This window comes from Homo sapiens, chromosome 18, assembly GCF_000001405.40.
Source record: "Homo sapiens chromosome 18, GRCh38.p14 Primary Assembly".
NCBI lineage: Eukaryota > Metazoa > Chordata > Mammalia > Primates > Hominidae > Homo > Homo sapiens.
Genome location: NC_000018.10, coordinates 70,741,060 through 70,760,423, shown reverse-complemented (window position 1 = coordinate 70,760,423; position 19,364 = coordinate 70,741,060). Strand labels below are relative to the sequence as shown.

The 19,364-nt window shown below is 39.8% G+C and overlaps 1 long non-coding RNA gene across 2 annotated transcripts in view; it reads right to left on the bottom strand.

The window, feature by feature from the left end:
• Nucleotides 1-4,407, bottom strand: part of LOC105372185 (uncharacterized) — a 30,515-nt gene extending 26,108 nt beyond the window's left edge. For both annotated transcript variants that reach the window (XR_007066413.1, XR_001753500.2), the window contains exon 1: nucleotides 3,979-4,407. This is a non-coding gene — a long non-coding RNA (uncharacterized LOC105372185). The remainder of the gene's footprint in view (nucleotides 1-3,978) is intronic.
• Between the last annotated feature and the right edge of the window lie 14,957 nt (nucleotides 4,408-19,364).

Below are 19,364 nucleotides of genomic sequence, written 5' to 3'. Positions count from 1 at the left end.
CTGGCCTCAAATTTTTCAAAAAAAAAAAAATCAATTTCCTTAATAGACACTTTAACATGATATGTATATTTCAAAATTAAATTATTCCTACACAAAGAAATGCATTGCATGTCCTTGCTTGGCTTTGGGGCTGGTAGAAGTCCTGGGTTTCATGGATATCAGACCGTTTATCTCGGGACGCATCCTCGGAGGTAGGTGTCCCAAGCACAACTCGACTGCAAGTCCCTCGGAGTTAGTGAATAACTGAATCAGCCTGATAACTGCCCAGAGAGTCACAGCTCCTTCAGCTTTAGGGTAAATCCTACACTTGAGAAGCCTTTGTATTTTTTGCAAAGCAAATGCAGAAGCGGGCTTCTAGAGATAAGAAATAGGGACCACCTTCCCTCCTGTGATGCACAGACATGGTAGCCCAACTTATATGAGATATACTATACAGTGAGCCTTGCACGAGGCAAGGCTACCACAAGTTTTTTAAAAAAACTGAATGAAGACTGAGCCTCAGCACTCAGTTACATAGCCCCAAAAACTTACAATAAAATGGCTATTTGGGTCATTCATTCATTTGACAAGCCTTTATTGAGCACTGAAGATGACAAGTACCACAACACGAGATGATGGAATGAATGGGTGAGGCACCCCGATCCTAGCCATGGTATTGCTCAGCCCTACAGGATTGAAAGGGAATCTGGCAAAGAAATCCCCCTGTTCTCTGAAGCTCCATTTTAAATTAAAAGGACCGACTCAGAAAAACAATCATCCTTCTGTGTCAACAGCCTGCCTCTTTTTATGTTTCCACCGAACAAACTGTCCAAGGGCAAAATCTGTAGCTGAGATAATAAGAATGAAGGACTCTGCAGCAGGTGTTAAATGAATGGAAGCATGACAGCGTTACCTATGGCTTCTGATTTTCCAGGGTGGGTTTTTCTAGCTGGTTAGGCATGAAAGAAAAGGCAAGGGATGGAACGACATGTTTTGCTGAGTTTAAAGCTGTCTCAGAATATATTTCTTCAAGATTTTCAACAGAGTTCAAAGCTTTCTGTTCCAAGGATTTTTTATATTGAGAAATTGGAACATTTTTATAGAAAATGAACCCCAGAAAGTGGGAAGATAGATGGATAGATGTTTTCCATAAAATATTTTATACATCAATACATTTCATCAGACACTGAATCCATTAAATCTTAACATGGCAGAAATATTGTGTGGCTTCTCTCCTGCTGCCCTAACTAATAACCACAAATGCAGTGACTTAACACAATATTTGGTTTTCCCTCTCAGTTTCTGTTAAGCAGAAAACATCAGGTACAGTGGAGCTCAGCTCAGTCCTCTGTCTGGAGTCTCCCAAGGCCAAAATCAAGGTGTTGGCAGGGCTGTGTTTCTCTCTGGAGGCGCATTGAGGTTGTTGGCCGAATTCAGCTTCTAGGAACTACAAGGCATGTTTAGCTGCTGGCGCCTCAGGGCGTCCTGCGTTCTCCATCAGATTGCCCGCTCCATTTTCAAACCAGCAGGAGGGACCACATCCTGCTCTACTTTAGGTATCTCTCTCATAACTCTTCTCTTTCCCTTGTGCCTCAGTTGCCTTCTGCCTTCAGGCCAACTTCTCTGTTTTTACAGGTTCATGTGATTACACTAGGCCCACTCAAATAATCCGAGATAGTGTCCCTATTGTAAAGTCTAAAAACTTAATTGCATCTGCAAGTCTTTTTTCCATGCAAGGTAACATTCACAGGTTCTGGACATTAAGTGGACATCTTTGGGAGGCTATTCTGCCTACTCTAAAGATAGTCATCAGAGCAAGTTGATAAGTAACTTCCTTTCAAACTTAAAAACTTAGGTATAAAAATATTTTCATAATGCAATATTGTTCAGATATATATTCTTAAGTATTCCGAGTCATGAGAAAAAAAACCCTAAGTAAAGCTAACAATGTTACTTTTGGATTGAATTTTTACTCACTGAACTCAAAAAATTACCCAATAACTATTTTATATCAGTTATTTCAGTCTAATGAAGAATGTAGACTATATCATTAGCCTTATTTCTGAAGCAGATAGTGGTTGAGTGACTGAAGAGCTATCACTTATCAATGGCCTCCATGTTTTGGCTATGTGATTAACGGGAAAGTGGGCTTGCATTATTTTTCTTGGTAATCCAGGATAGAAAACCTTCAATGTGGTGAAAATCGCTTCCATTAATTAAAGGTTATACACAGGAAAACAGTGGATGGTGGCAATGCTGAGAATAGGCTTCAGTCTACAGGGCTAGAGTTCAGAAAGAGGAGGGAAAGAAGATTCACTGTCCTGATATTTGCTTTCCTCTCCAGGTTTAGCATGTGATGATATCATGGAAGGTTCTATTTCTAGGCCTTTGAAACTCCAGGAACAATACAATCAAATAATATGTTACAATGTGTTACCACACTGTTAGTAAGAGTGGTATTGGCAATAAACTACTAGTACCCCATGGGTCATGTATATGTGTGTTTGTGGGTGTTGTCTGAGACCATAAACTTAGGCGTAAATATATTTGCATATTGTCAAGAAATTCATTAACCTTTTTTGTTTTCAAATAGAACTGCATGAGGTACTACTACATATTAGAAACCATGGGAACAAATATAAATTGGATCACTTGGATATTTGGGTTTCTAGTTTCCTGTCATATTGAAAAATAAGAAGCACCACAGGACTTCCAATAACCACCTCTCTCCACTTGATGCAGAAGGCATTTTGATCCATAATTAAATTTGTGCTCTTTCTTGCTAAGAGAATTGAAATATCCTACAGTGTTTTCTAAGAAGGTTTGACATTATCTTTCCAGTTAGAGTCATGTTATGACAGCTTACAATTTTCTTTCTAAAAGGGTATTAAAAACACATCACACACTAATCGAGGCCATGCATAATCAGGCAAAATTCAGATCCTCTTGGCCATTCTGTGGTATGGTAACTCTGGATGCATAAGTGAACTAAGTCAAATTACTTCCAAAATAATACAAGTAAGTCAGTATATTTTGTTCTACTATCTATATTTCTCATTATGAAAGTCACTTCTTCCTTGCTTCCCTCTCCTTTCTCTTCCTTCTTCGTCATGAACAAGATAGTGTAATCTCAGATCAATGAGATCTGATGGATATCTAATTATATATATTAACATATCTTTTAAAAAAGAATGTTTCAGAGAGGAATTAAATGTCCACTAAGTTTCACTAGCTGTAAATGAAACCCAGAGTCAAAGCACCCCTGCTGCAGAGACAAGCAGACATTTGTAGTTTATGTCATTGAAATCTTCCGGTTCCATTGATGAAATCATTCCTGACTACTGTTATGAATGAATTAATTCACATCATTTTGTTCATTTCATTCTTTAACCTTTCAACAATCACTTTACAAGAAGCTGCTACATGCAAGCATTGTGGGGATAAAATAGGAGCAAACCAGATTCAGTCCTCACCCTTGTGAAGTGTAGAGTTTATTACGGAGGAAAGACAGTCATCAAATAATCACACTGAAAGATCATTGCAAATTAGTATATGTGTTATAAGGAAAAGAGCATACAAAGGGGTTCAGGGTGGCTGTTCTAAGGATGAGAACTTTTAGATCTTCAGACTGAAGAATGAGGAGGAGTTAAAGACAATGGAGAGTGGAGGCAGGCGAGAGAGCACTCTAGGTTGACACTGAGGCAGGAAGGACACGTGTGTGAGAGGGTGAAGAAATAAAATGACATTATAATGCTTGAGAAAGAGTGAACCACTAAATCTCCATTAGTTTCAGGAACGGTTCATCAAAGATGGGTCTCAGAATAGGGGGGAATTATTCTTGTGATTTGGAAGCCTTTGGTTGAGCAATTTAGATTTATCAACATGGGTGAGCACTAAGTTCACGGGAGGATTGCCAAGAAAAGAGAGAAGGAATGGTCGTGGGGCTAAAGTCACACCAGTGTCAAAGCAGAAAACATTTAGGTATTCAAGGACACTCACAGTCTCACTTCTTGGCCCACAGAGATTCTGAGTCTCATCAGTTGACCATACGTTGTTGTTGTTGTTGTTATTGTTGTTGTTGTTGTTGTTGTTGTTTTCAGAACTCCTGATCTACACCACTCCAAGAACAGCCTCAGCCTGGCTGTTGATGACTGCCATCAAAGCGTCTTGTGATGGTTTTCTTTGTAGTTATATATATTTCAATCATTTGTCGAGTGAGTGGCTGCATAGCAGCATTTAAACCCCTGGAGAAAACAGAGCAAATGACTAGGGAGACAAGCATAAACATGAGAATAACCAGTAATGTCTGTTAACGAACACCCAGGCTGACCTGCGGTGCACAGAACAGATCTCCTCCCCATCCAAGTCTATGGAAGGGGAGGTTTGATATTAATAGGCTTGTGTAATACTGATTTACCCAAAATGGCATGATTAGAGGAAAAACCTTAAAGAATCTCATTTTTACAATCAAAATTCCTAAACCAACACAGAGAGAAAATGATAGTCATGAAAAGAAAAATGAAACAGGTAAAGACAGAGGTGGCAATTAATTGTTTCTGGTATTAATAGGCTTTGATCTGATGTTCTTGAGAAAGAGATCTACTTTATGATGGCATCAGCTTCTGGAGAATCCCAAGAGATTCCCAGTGCTAGATTTTACACGGGCATGGATATCTGGGAGATGGGTATATGCTGTCTTTTTAACTAAGAGATGTGAATCCAAGAGGTAGTTCCCAGGAGTTTCATTGCACAATTTGTGGTTCCAAATCCCGTCTAATAAAGTTCAAGAATAGTCTTACATTGCTCTCATTTTCAGTACAGTAGGTCTCCTGGCTGAAAGTCATGCAGTGCTTTCTGTGACTTATCTGTGGGAAAAGCCACAAGGTCTCATTGAAAATGAGTTGGCCTTAAAGTTCTACAGCATTTGGCTATATTGGCCTGTGAATGAGCAGAGTCAAAAATTGAGGGTGATATCCCCATATGGATGAGCATCCAGCGACTAGCTCATTTGGGGATAATCTGTGAGTTCCTGTTAAAAGGGGCCTAACAGCCAGAATGCTGAGAGTAAACCTTTCGCTGTAGCATCTGAAGTTGCTCAGAGAGTTTCACAAGTTTCCGTTTTAATGGGTCTTGATTTCTCTAAGGACTGGGGGTGGTAGGAACAGTGAGGCTTTGGTTGACAGGCAAAGCTTCATAGAATGCCTTAATTAATGGTCTTGTGACATGGGTACCCCAAAACAAGATAAATAGACGAATATTACTCAAGTGAGAAACACAGAGTCGGAAAGTTGCTTTGCTACTGTCAGAAGAGTTACTTTATGAAAAGGAAACAATCCCAGCCAACCAGAAAACACACACTATTCTATGATTAAGAACATATTCATGACCACACAAGGGAACAACTGAATGAAATCTATTTGCAGATATACTCAATAGCCTAAAAGTTTTCGCTCATGTCCTTGTCCCACATTTGGGACAAGGTTTGCACAGGATTTGGGGGTTTGATGGAAGATACACCAAAGACGTGCTCTTCAATCTTGTTGGGGTTTCCCCATCGATACTTCTTCAGGATATATTTTAAATTATCCTTTCCATGTACGGTTACAACCAGCTTTTTTTTTTTTTTGAGAGATTCTATTTCAGCATCTCAATGAAGACTAAATAGCTGTCTTGGCACCACCAGCTGCCTTCTGGGTGAAGCAAACAATCTTATTTTTCCAGTGTGTTATTTCAGAATCAGGTGTTTGATTCTGAAATTGACTCAAGGCCTAATGCCAATAGTCAGGAATTCATTTTAGCTTTGAATTTTGGACTTGCTTGGCAGCTTGGATGTGTTAACACAGATTGTTTAGTATATTAATCTGTTGCAACATGAACCTTTGCTTCCTAAAATTGCTTTTATGTTTTTGCTTTAATTGGAATATACCATCTGTAATTAAGAAGTGATGTTTCTTCCAAAGCATACCAAAATCTTGCACCACTACAAAAATGTTTCTATATAGGCATTTCTCTCTTATCTGTAGCTAACTGGCAGGACTTAGTAAGAGCTATAACTTTGGCAACTTGTGCAGATTTAGTATCTCGAAGAGAGTTGAATTTGAATAAATGTTAGTGTGTTCTGATTGCATACCCAGCTTAATAGTGTCCTTGCTCAGTTCTCAAACAGGTTTTATCCACAATACTTCACAATTTAGGTAGTCTAAAAGAGTTTCAAAGTGTCCAGGTCGTAGCAAGAAAAACTCCCAAATAAGTATATAGCAGTCATGTGGGAGAGGAAGAGGAATAGCAGATTTTAGGATTTTGCAACAATGGATAGAAATGTCTATAGGTAAAGGGATTTTTTACAGCTTTATTGAAGTATAATTGATATACAAAAAAACCCTGCTCATTTAGTGTACACAATTTGATAAGTTCAGACGTATGTATACATCTGTGATATCAACACTACAATCAAAGCAATAAACATATCCACCAAGAATAAAGGATTTCAAAGGAAGCCAGTCTAGTAACAGAAGAATTGAAGGAGTTTTCAGTCCAAAGGAAGGTCTCAATGATATGAGGAACCACAGGGTTAAGCAAAAATCTTAAGACTAAGTCATCAGTTGCCTCAGCTGAGCTTGCACTGCTGCCACTGTGTGCAAACAAGGAGGGCAGGCTTTTTGTCATGAAATCAATGTGAAGATATAATAAGCAGTGAGTCTCTGATGCCCATTTTCTTGTTAAGTTAGAATCCTCCAAACTTGTCTCAATGTACTAACAGAAAGAAAGATGTATGATCATTGGAGAGTTATTTAAGTGGTAAAATACATTCTCTAGTGAGTCTATAATGCAGGATTGTCAGTTTTCATTAGCTTACAGGAGGGGGCAGTTAGTCGAGAAAAGTTAGAAATCCATGTCTACAATATTGTATGGGAATAAGACATTTTCTAAGATGTCTTTCAGTAATTGGCCAGGAAAGTCGGGAATAACCTGCAGTCTTTGAGGGAAAAGACCCTTAATTTTTGTTTGATATCATGGCCAAGAAAATACACGTGGGGCTGACAAAATTGGAGTTTACCCCTAGAGACTTTGTGTGCCTGTACACTTACACTATTAGCAAGTGGAATAAATCAATTCTGCAGGACTCTCAATCTAGAGAGCAAACAAGATCATCTATATATTATATAAGAGTGGAGTCCTTGGGAAATAGAATGTCTCCAGTCATTCAGGTGTCATTGAGTATTTCCAAGAAGTAAGAGGGTGTTTCTGTAAATTCTTGGTCACAATTGTTCATGAGTATTGTTTCCAAGTGAGTGTAAATAGATACAGTGAGTCTGGAAGAAAAGAATTACTAAAGAATGCTAAGCATGGATCTACCACTGTAAAGTAAGCAGCAGTTCTAGAGATTGTAGATAGGACAGTATTTGAGTTTGAGATAATAGGAAAGCAGGAAAGTAAAATTGTGTTAATGGCCCTTAAATCTTGTACAAAGTGGCAGTCATACTAATTTGTGTTTGTAACAGACAGAACAAAAGGATCACAAGGGCTAGTATAGGGATAATAACTCTTTTCTGGAGGTATGTAGAGATAATGGACCACAGTCTTTCAACGGACTCCATTTTTCAGTGGGGATTGGGCAGTTTCAGGAAGAACATAGCTAGATTTATTCAAACATTTAAGGGTTTAGCCTCTTGTATATGCCCGATATTTGAACCATCTTTGGTCAAGAGGCTATTATGGACATACCCAAAGCCTGGGATGTCCATAAAGAAGGCATCAGGGAGTTGTAATCAAGCTGTGGCGTTATTAGGTTGTAAGCCAAACATACTTCCTTTCTGAGAATTTCAGCAATACTCTATCTGGACCACATTTAATAATAGCACCGGGGGAGGAGCCAAGATGGCCGAATAGGAACAGCTCCGGTCTACAGCTCCCAGCGTGAGCGACGCAGAAGACGGGTGATTTCTGCATTTCCATCTGAGGTACCGGGTTCATCTCACTAGGGAGTGCCAGACAGTGGGCGCAGGCCAGTGTGTGTGCGCACCGTGCGTGAGCCGAAGCAGGGCGAGGCATTGCCTCACCTGGGAAGCGCAAGGGGTCAGGGAGTTCCCTTTCCGAGTCAAAGAAAGGGGTGACGGACGCACCTGGAAAATCGGGTCACTCCCACCCGAATATTGTGCTTTTCAGACCAGCTTAAGAAACGGCGCACCACGAGACTATATCCCACACCTGGCTCAGAGGGTCCTACGCCCACGGAATCTCGCTGATTGCTAGCACAGCAGTCTGAGATCAAACTGCAAGGCGGCAACCAGGCTGGGGGAGGGGCGCCCGCCATTGCCCAGGCTTGCTTAGGTAAACAAAGCAGCCGGGAAGCTCGAACTGGGTGGAGCCCACCACAGCTCAAGGAGGCCTGCCTGCCTCTGTAGGCTCCACCTCTGGGGGCAGGGCACAGACAAACAAAAAGACAGCAGTAACCTCTGCAGACTTAAGTGTCCCTGTCTGACAGCTTTGAAGAGAGCAGTGGTTCTCCCAGCACGCAGCTGGAGATCTGAGAACGGGCAGACTGCCTCCTCAAGTGGGTCCCTGACCCCTGACCCCCGAGCAGCCTAACTGGGAGGCACCCCCCAGCAGGGGCACACTGACACCTCACACGGCAGGGTATTCCAACAGACCTGCGGCTGAGGGTCCTGTCTGTTAGAAGGAAAACTAACAACCAGAAAGGACATCTACACCGAAAACCCATCTGTACATCACCATCATCAAAGACCAAAAGTAGATAAAACCACAAAGATGGGGAAAAAACAGAACAGAAAAACTGGAAACTCTAAAACGCAGAGCGCCTCTCCTCCTCCAAAGGAACGCAGTTCCTCACCAGCAACAGAACAAAGCTGGATGGAGAATGATTTTGACGAGCTGAGAGAAGAAGGCTTCAGACGATCAAATTACTCTGAGCTACGGGAGGACATTCAAACCAAAGGCAAAGAAGTTGAAAACTTTGAAAAAAATTTAGAAGAATGTATAACTAGAATAACCAATACAGAGAAGTGCTTAAAGGAGCTGATGGAGCTGAAAACCAAGGCTCGAGAACTACGTGAAGAATGCAGAACCCTCAGGAGCCGATGCGATCAACTGGAAGAAAGGGTATCAGCAATGGAAGATGAAATGAATGAAATGAAGCGAGAAGGGAAGTTTAGAGAAAAAAGAATAAAAAGAAATGAGCAAAGCCTCCAAGAAATATGGGACTATGTGAAAAGACCAAATCTACGTCTGATTGGTGTACCTGAAAGTGATGTGGAGAATGGAACCAAGTTGGAAAACACTCTGCAGGATATTATTCAGGAGAACTTCCCCAATCTAGCAAGGCAGGCCAACGTTCAGATTCAGGAAATACAGAGAACGCCACAAAGATACTCCTCGAGAAGAGCAACTCCAAGACACATAATTGTCAGATTCACCAAAGTTGAAATGAAGGAAAAAATGTTAAGGGAAGCCAGAGAGAAAGGTCGGGTTACCCTCAAAGGAAAGCCCATCAGACTAACAGCGGATCTCTCGGCAGAAACCCTACAAGCCAGAAGAGAGTGGGGGCCAATATTCAACATTCTTAAAGAAAAGAATTTTCAACCCAGAATTTCATATCCAGCCAAACTAAGCTTCATAAGTGAAGGAGAAATAAAATACTTTATAGACAAGCAAATGCTGAGAGATTTTGTCACCACCAGGCCTGCCCTAAAAGAGCTCCTGAAGGAAGCGCTAAACATGGAAAGGAACAACCGGTACCAGCTGCTGCAAAATCATGCCAAAATGTAAAGACCATCGAGACTAGGAAGAAACTGCATCAACTAATGAGCAAAATCACCAGCTAACATCATAATGACAGGATCAAATTCACACATAACAATATTAACTTTAAATATAAATGGACTAAATTCTGCAATTAAAAGACACAGACTGGCAAGTTGGATAAAGAGTCAAGACCCATCAGTGTGCTGTATTCAGGAAACCCATCTCACGTGCAGAGATACACATAGGCTCAAAATAAAAGGATGGAGGAAGATCTACCAAGCCAATGGAAAACAAAAAAAGGCAGGGGTTGCAATCCTAGTCTCTGATAAAACAGACTTTAAACCAACAAAGATCAAAAGAGACAAAGAAGGCCATTACATAATGGTAAAGGGATCAATTCAACAAGAGGAGCTAACTATCCTAAATATTTATGCACCCAATACAGGAGCACCCAGATTCATAAAGCAAGTCCTCAGTGACCTACAAAGAGACTTAGACTCCCACACATTAATAATGGGAGACTTTAACACCCCACTGTCAACATTAGACAGATCAACGAGACAGAAAGTCAACAAGGATACCCAGGAATTGAACTCAGCTCTGCCCCAAGCAGACCTAATAGACATCTACAGAACTCTCCACCCCAAATCAACAGAATATACATTTTTTTCAGCACCACACCACACCTATTCCAAAATTGACCACATAGTTGGAAGTAAAGCTCTCCTCAGCAAATGTAAAAGAACAGAAATTATAACAAACTATCTCTCAGACCACAGTGCAATCAAACTAGAACTCAGGATTAAGAATCTCACTCAAAGCCGCTCAACTACATGGAAACTGAACAACCTGCTCCTGAATGACTACTGGGTACATAACGAAATGAAGGCAGAAATAAAGATGTTCTTTGAAACCAACGAGAACAAAGACACCACATACCAGAATCTCTGGGACGCATTCAAAGCAGTGTGTAGAGGGAAATTTATAGCACTAAATGCCTACAAGAGAAAGCAGGAAAGATCCAAAATTGACACCCTAACATCACAATTAAAAGAACTAGAAAAGCAAGAGCAAACACATTCAAAAGCTAGCAGAAGGCAAGAAATAACTAAAATCAGAGCAGAACTGAAGGAAATAGAGACACAAAAAACCCTTCAAAAAATCAATGAATCCAGGAGCTGGTTTTTTGAAAGGATCAACAAAATTGATAGACCGCTAGCAAGACTAATAAAGAAAAAAAGAGAGAAGAATCAAATAGACACAATAAAAAATGATAAAGGGGATATCACCACCGATCCCACAGAAATACAAACTACCATCAGAGAATACTACAAACACCTCTACGCAAATAAACTAGAAAATCTAGAAGAAATGGATACATTCCTCGACACATACACTCTCCCAAGACTAAACCAGGAAGAAGTTGAATCTCTGAATAGACCAATAACAGGCTCTGAAATTGTGGCAATAATCAATAGTTTACCAACCAAAAAGAGTCCAGGACCAGATGGATTCACAGCCGAATTCTACCAGAGGTACAAGGAGGAACTGGTACCATTCCTTCTGAAACTATTCCAATCAATAGAAAAAGAGGGAATCCTCCCTAACTCATTTTATGAGGCCAGCATCATTCTGATACCAAAGCCGGGCAGAGACACAACCAAAAAAGAGAATTTTAGACCAATATCCTTGATGAACATTGATGCAAAAATCCTCAATAAAATACTGGCAAACCGAATCCAGCAGCACATCAAAAAGCTTATCCACCATGATCAAGTGGGCTTCATCCCTGGGATGCAAGGCTGGTTCAATATACGCAAATCAATAAATGTAATCCAGCATATAAACAGAGCCAAAGACAAAAACCACATGATTATCTCAATAGATGCAGAAAAAGCCTTTGACAAAATTCAACAACCCTTCATGCTAAAAACTCTCAATAAATTAGGTATTGATGGGACTTATCTCAAAATAATAAGAGCTATCTATGACAAACCCACAGCCAATATCATACTGAATGGGCAAAAACTGGAAGCATTCCCTTTGAAAACTGGCACAAGACAGGGATGCCCTCTCTCACCGCTCCTATTCAACATAGTGTTGGAAGTTCTGGCCAGGGCAATCAGGCAGGAGAAGGAAATAAAGGGTATTCAATTAGGAAAAGAGGAAGTCAAATTGTCCCTGTTTGCAGACGACATGATTGTTTATCTAGAAAACCCCATCGTCTCAGCCCAAAATCTCCTTAAGCAGATAAGCAACTTCAGCAAAGTCTCAGGATACAAAATCAATGTACAAAAATCACAAGCATTCTTATACACCAACAACAGACAAACAGAGAGCCAAATCATGGGTGAACTCCCATTCACAATTGCTTCAAAGAGAATAAAATACCTAGGAATCCAACTTACAAGGGATGTGAAGGACCTCTTCAAGGAGAACTACAAACCACTGCTCAAGGAAATAAAAGAGGACACAAACAAATGGAAGAACATTCCATGCTCATGGGTAGGAAGAATCAATATCGTGAAAATGGCCATACTGCCCAAGGTAATTTACAGATTCAATGCCATCCCCATCAAGCTACCAATGACTTTCTTCACAGAATTGGAAAAAACTACTTTAAAGTTCATATGGAACCAAAAAAGAGCCCGCATCGCCAAGTCAATCCTAAGCCAAAAGAACAAAGCTGGAGGCATCACACTACCTGACTTCAAACTATACTACAAGGCTACAGTAACCAAAACAGCATGGTACTGGTACCAAAACAGAGATATAGATCAATGGAACAGAACAGAGCCCTCAGAAATAATGCCGCATATCTACAACTATCTGATCTTTGACAAACCTGAGAAAAACAAGCAATGGGGAAAGGATTCCCTATTTAATAAATGGTGCTGGGAAAACTGGCTAGCCATATGTAGAAAGCTGAAACTGGATCCCTTCCTTACACCTTATACAAAAATCAATTCAAGATGGATTAAAGATTTAAACGTTAGACCTAAAACCATAAAAACCCTAGAAGAAAACCTAGGCATTACCATTCAGGACATAGGCATGGGCAAGGACTTCATGTCCAAAACACCAAAAGCAATGGCAACCAAAGCCAAAATTGACAAATGGGATCTAATTAAACTAAAGAGCTTCTGCACAGCAAAAGAAACTACCATCAGAGTGAACAGGCAACCTACAACATGGGAGAAAATTTTCGCAACCTACTCATCTGACAAAGGGCTAATATCCAGAATCTACAATGAACTCAAACAAATTTACAAGAAAAAAACAAACAACCCCATCAAAAAGTGGGCGAAGGACATGAACAGACACTTCTCAAAAGAAGACATTTATGCAGCCAAAAAACACATGAAGAAATGCTCATCATCACTGGCCATCAGAGAAATGCAAATCAAAACCACTATGAGATATCATCTCACACCAGTTAGAATGGCAATCATTAAAAAGTCAGGAAACAACAGGTGCTGGAGAGGATGTGGAGAAATAGGAACACTTTTACACTGTTGGTGGGACTGTAAACTAGTTCAACCATTGTGGAAGTCAGTGTGGCGATTCCTCAGGGATCTAGAACTAGAAATACCATTTGACCCAGCCATCCCATTACTGGGTATATACCCAAAGGGCTATAAATCATGCTGCTATAAAGACACATGCACACGTATGTTTATTGCGGCACTATTCACAATAGCAAAGACTTGGAACCAACCCAAATGTCCAACAATGATAGACTGGATTAAGAAAATGTGGCACATATACACCATGGAATACTATGCAGCCATAAAAAATGATGAGTTCATATCCTTTGTAGGGACATGGATGAAATTGGAAACCATCATTCTCAGTAAACTATCGCAAGAACAAAAAACCAAACACCGCGTATTCTCACTCATAGGTGGGAATTGAACAATGAGATCACATGGACACAGGAAGGGGAATATCACACTCTGGGGACTGTGGTGGGGCCGGGGGAGGGGGGAGGGATAGCATTGGGAGATATACCTAATGCTAGATGACACATTAGTGGGTGCAGCGCACCAGCATGGCACATGTATACATATGTAACTAACCTGCACAATGTGCACATGTACCCTAAAACTTAGAGTATAATAAAAAAAAAAAAATAATAATAGCACCCCATTTACCATGTAAGGCTCATCACAACATATTTCCCATCTGGTTTCTCTAACTCCAGTGCCCTATTTCTCCCCACAGAAGATAATGACCCATCTCTATTTCCATCACTCCTGCCAGCCTTGGCCTGCCAAGGAGACCCACCACTGAACTTCTTAGTGATGCTGGTGACCCTATTGCCACCAAACCATTAATGCCTTTTATAAATGCTGCATCTAGGCTCTCTTGGGGTTTTCTGGTCTTACCTGATACAGAAACTAGAAGCATGGTGAGTACAAGTACCCATGAGAGGAGATAGGGGCATCTCCTGAGATAGATGGCTGTTGCGTTGCAGGGGAGAGGTCTCTAGCATTTTCTAATAGGTGTTAATAGAGAAGGATGGGCTGCTCTGTAAGCTCTGAGGTTATAATGTATACGATGCTAAAATCTTCAGAGGCATCCATCCAGGCATCCTTACTCCACATTTCAGGGTCTTACATTATCCCAACCATGGTCCCGACCTACACATTACAGGCCTATCTTGGCTAAGGTTTCAAATGTCTGAAGCTCTGTGAATTTAACTACAAAATTTTTAGTCTGTTATTCAACTGAGTCTGTCGTTCCACTACAGGAGAAACGGCTTCTTTGTAAGGCGCCACACAGGCTCTCCAGCCATAACATTTAGCCTTGACTTGCTTGTTTGTAGCCCCCAATTCTTTATTATCCTTCTGCAGGGCATATCAATACAAATTATCCTGAATGAGCTGTCTCTGCTGTCTTTGTAAGCATTGCTATCCTCCCCACCCATTTCTTTTAAAAGCTGGAGTGACTGCACCTGCAAGACACCACTGCAATTGGACTGCCATCAGGTGTCAGGTATTACCCAAGCCCCATCTGCCACTCAGGATATTGTATCCTTCTTCTGCTCAGGGGTGATTCAGCAGGTCCCAAATCTTCAAGTTTCTGCCAGGTTTCTGGATGAGTCTTGGTACCATTTGCATCAACTAGATCCTGACTCCAGAAAGCAGACACCAAGATGGTGTTAGATGGGCAAGAGGTTTTTTGACAAAGGGAGGAAGAGAAGGCAACAAGAGTCTTCAGACTTCAGTTGAAATCTGATACCTATAGAAGGAAATAGGGAAGAAAGGGACATCAAGTAGTAGAAGGGTTGGACTGCAGAGCAATTCAGGAGTTAATCCAGGTCAATAGAGAGTCCCCATACCATAGTCACTCTTAGGATGAGTCCTGTGTCTTCCCAGAATGAGCCTGTCACCCTAAGTTAATTATGCCCCTGCAGCAGAAGATCAAGGTAGCGTGTTTTCATGGCCACCGCAAGTGACTACTCTAGATAAGAGATCTGTTCTTCAGTGAGTCATCAAATACACTCTTAACAAATACAAAATACACAAAATTTAATTTAATTAGCTTATCCAAATTCAAATTAACCTGTACAAAACAGGAACATAAAATGATCTTTGAATATATTATGTGATGGTACATTTATATTTCATTATATTTATTACTCTTCTTTTAAAAAGCATCTTCCAGGTTTACTATCACCTTTGCATGCATGAATAGTTGAATAGATGGGATGTCAGAGGAGGCCTCCTCTGCATACTTTGCTCTGTGCTTCCTCTCTACAGATTTTAGTACCTCAGAAACCCAGTCATTCCAAAGCCTGCACTCAGAACTAATAAGCATTTTACAAATCCTGTGAGCTACAATACCATGAAGTTTCATTCATTCATTTATTCATTCTTCCAGGTTCTCATTTATTCAATGCCACTATCCATCTTCCATGTACTAGACACTGTTAAGCCCTGAGATCCCATAAAGCTGACAGCATGTAATTACTGAAAACACAGAATGAACAAAAACAAAACATCTTACTTCTCAGAGTCCTTGCCTCATCCACAGTTTACCACAGGTAGGACTAAGTTCTTTCTAAATTATGGAAGCTATCCCATACTAAGAAGCACATCAGACACCATCAGAAGGAAGCAATTTCCAACTGCTTTTCTCACAAAGAATGCACATGCATATTATGCCATCAAGCTCCAAACTATGCAAATAAAACCTATGTTTTCCTCAAGAAAGATTTTCTAAATAACTTACTGAGTCAACCTTGGAGGCAGTTGCAGCATATTACAAAACCAAGAAGAGAAAATTTCATATCAGAATAACCTCGGGGCAAGTAAAAAGGTAAAAAAATTTCCTGAAATTATTCTACTGATATTCAAAGAAACTGACAATTAAACCTTACCTCCAGTAGGGTCAAACTAAAAACCACAGAATATAGATACCATGTTAGTGTAACAGACCTGCAGGCTAACTGATGTTTTGACATTAATTGAAAAGAACATTGTATTTGCTAAGGTTCAAATTTTGGAGACTGTCAATGCACTAACTGAAAATTCATTTGAGAATTCCCTTCTGATGTCTGCTTAACCTGGGTTTCACACCCCCAGGAAAACTACAGTCTCTTTATCTATAGCTTATGCAGCAGGAGGCAAGACACTTAATAAACTGAACAAGACTTTAGAAAGGCAGAAGTCTTAAATTTGAATTCAACTCATGGCCTACTTGCTACAGACTTTCTTTTCCTGGGGAAATCTCAGGCTGTCACAAATGAGAAGCAAAGGTGGTAGCCTCCCCAATCACATACAATGTTTCCTATCTCTTCCAGGGCTGCAGCTGACTGATTTGTTTCTCCTAAGGCCAACCATGAGCAGAATCTCTCCATAAAAGCTGTGGATTGGAAGTAGTGACAGGTCAGAATTACGACGACAGTCACAGAGTACAGAGGAATACCAATTAGCAGAAGAACAAATTAATTTAAAATGAATCATTTCAAAGATTTTAAATTTTGTAGCAATTAGCTAAAATTTTTCAAGAGATGGATTTTTAAGTTTGTGGGACACTAAACAAATAAACAAGGTTTTTCTCTGAGTCATCATCACCCTTACAATCCCTCAAACTTGTTTATACAAATGAGTTGATTCAGATATTCATTCATTCATTCATACGTTGTACTCCTTGGTTGAAGAACACTGGGAACACTCATGAAAGATGTTATTTTTGAATGATTGCCAGTTCTAATGCTGAAAAGCCAACGGAATTTGTAGCTCTCCTTCTAATAAGAGTGTATAGGCAGATGCTGAAATAAGTCTTTGAAACAATGAGACCAAAACCAGTCTATTTTGCGTGCTACATCTCCACTGACAAAATAAAACTATGCTGTGATTTCAGGTCAGACATTCTGGCTTTATAAAATAACAATAGATTTGAAATGCTTATCAAGATTTTATTGCATCAGTGTTCTTAAAATTATCCATACAATTTGGTATCTGTAAACAGTATGTGAACATGAACATTTAATGCCCCAACTCTGCTATATTATGACTGTAAAACTATACTTCATTTTATACAGTCAAGGTCAAAAGAATAAATCAAGTTCGAATAAAATTTTTTCTGAAATCCATATGCACCAAGAAACTCTAAAAATTCCTGGGGTAAAAAGAACTCTTTCTAGCCTGGCTTTGTATTTCCTCTCTGTTCCTAACTGTTCAGAAACATACCCAAACGATTCAATATCATCACAGGCTACTCATTTCCACATTTCTACCTTTCAAATAGTTTATACCGTGAAATCACAAAGGCACTGATTGTCATTCTCAAAAGACAGAATCACTTTACTATCACATCAAAAGCATTTGAATAGTTCCTCTAGTTATGAAGAAGGTTAAATCTAAAATGTTGAAACTGTTGCATTATTATTGTGAAATGAAACAGCAATCACACCAGATAGTTAGATTGGCACAGATTTGTGCATGCCCAGAAAACTAAAGACTAATGCTTAGACTATACTCCATATCTCTTATACGTGATTTATGTTTATTTTCCATGTTCAGATCTCCATGTGTCCTAGCTTTCCATTAAAAAACAATAGGAGAGTCCTTCTGAAGCTAATTTAACACCTGTGAATTCCCATAGGCTATAACCAGAGAGAGTAATCTGATTAAGTGACTGCCTTAAATGTCAAAGGTATTAAGTTCAGCTTCTGCACTGGGACTCTATTTTCATATGTTCATTTTTAATTTTAGTGATTACATGCAATGGGACAGAATTACTGTGGCTAACAGATGTACATGTTAAAATTTCTTATAATGGAGGCATCAGCAGTTCCTCAACTTCGACATCAATGTGACTTTTTGAATTCCATACATTACCACACGTGTAGAATAACGAGCAATACCTGGGTTAAAGAACAAAAGATTTTGGGGCATGGTTGCTTGTGCCTGTAGTCCCAGGTACTTGGGAGGCTGAGGTGGGAAGAGTGCTTGAGTCCAGGAGTTCAAGATTGCGGTGCGCTATGTTTGTGCCTGTGAATTACCACTGCACTCCAGCCTGGATGACATAAGGAGACCCTGTTTCTAAAAAAAAGTAAATTAATTAATTAATTTTTAAAACCGAGTGAAAAAAAACTCTTAAAAAATATTTTGGATCACGAGACTTACTCACATGGGTCTTTGTGCCTGGATCATTTTAAACATATGGATTCTATATAAAATACAGCATATTTCCTTTTTTTTTATTATACTTTAAGTTCTAGGGTACATGTGCACAATGCGCAAGTTTGTTACATATGTATACATGCGCCATGTTGGTGTGCTGCTCCCATTAACTCGTCATTTACATTAGATATATCTCCTAATGCTATCCTCCTCATCCCCTCACCCCAACACAGGCCCCAGTGTGTGATGTACCCCTTCCAGTGTCCAAGTGTTCTCATTGTTCAATTCCCACCTATGAGTGAGAACATGCGGTGTTTGGTTTTTTGTCCTTGCGATAGTTTGCTTTCCCTTCATCCATGTCCCTACAAAGGACATGAACTCATCCTTTTTTATGGCTGCATAGTATTCCATGGTGTAGATGTGCCACGTTTGCTTAATCCAATCTATCACTGATGGACATTTGGGTTGCTTCCAAGTCTTTGCTATTGTGAATAGTGCCGCAATAAACATACGTGTGCATGTGTCTTTATAGCAGCATGATTTATAATCCTTTGGGTATATACCCAGTAATGGGATGGCTGGGTCAAATGGTATTTCTAGTTCTAGACCCTTGAGGAATCACCACACTGTCTTCCACGATGGCTGAACTAGTTTACACTCCCACCAACAGTGTAAAAATGTTCCTATTTCTCCACATCCTCTCCAGCACCTGTTGTTTCCTGACTTTTTAATGATCGCCATTCTAACTAGTGTGAGATGGTATTTCATTGTGGTTTTGATTTGCATTTCTCTGATGGCCAGTGATGGTGAGCATTTTTTCATGTGTCTGTTGTCTGCATAAATGTCTTCTTTTGAGAAGTGTCTGTTCATATCCTTCACCACTTTTTGATGGGGTTGTTTGTATTTTTTCTTGTAAATTTGTTTGAGTTCTTTATAGATTCTGGATATTAGCCCTTTGTCAGATGAGTAGATTGCAAAAATTTTCTC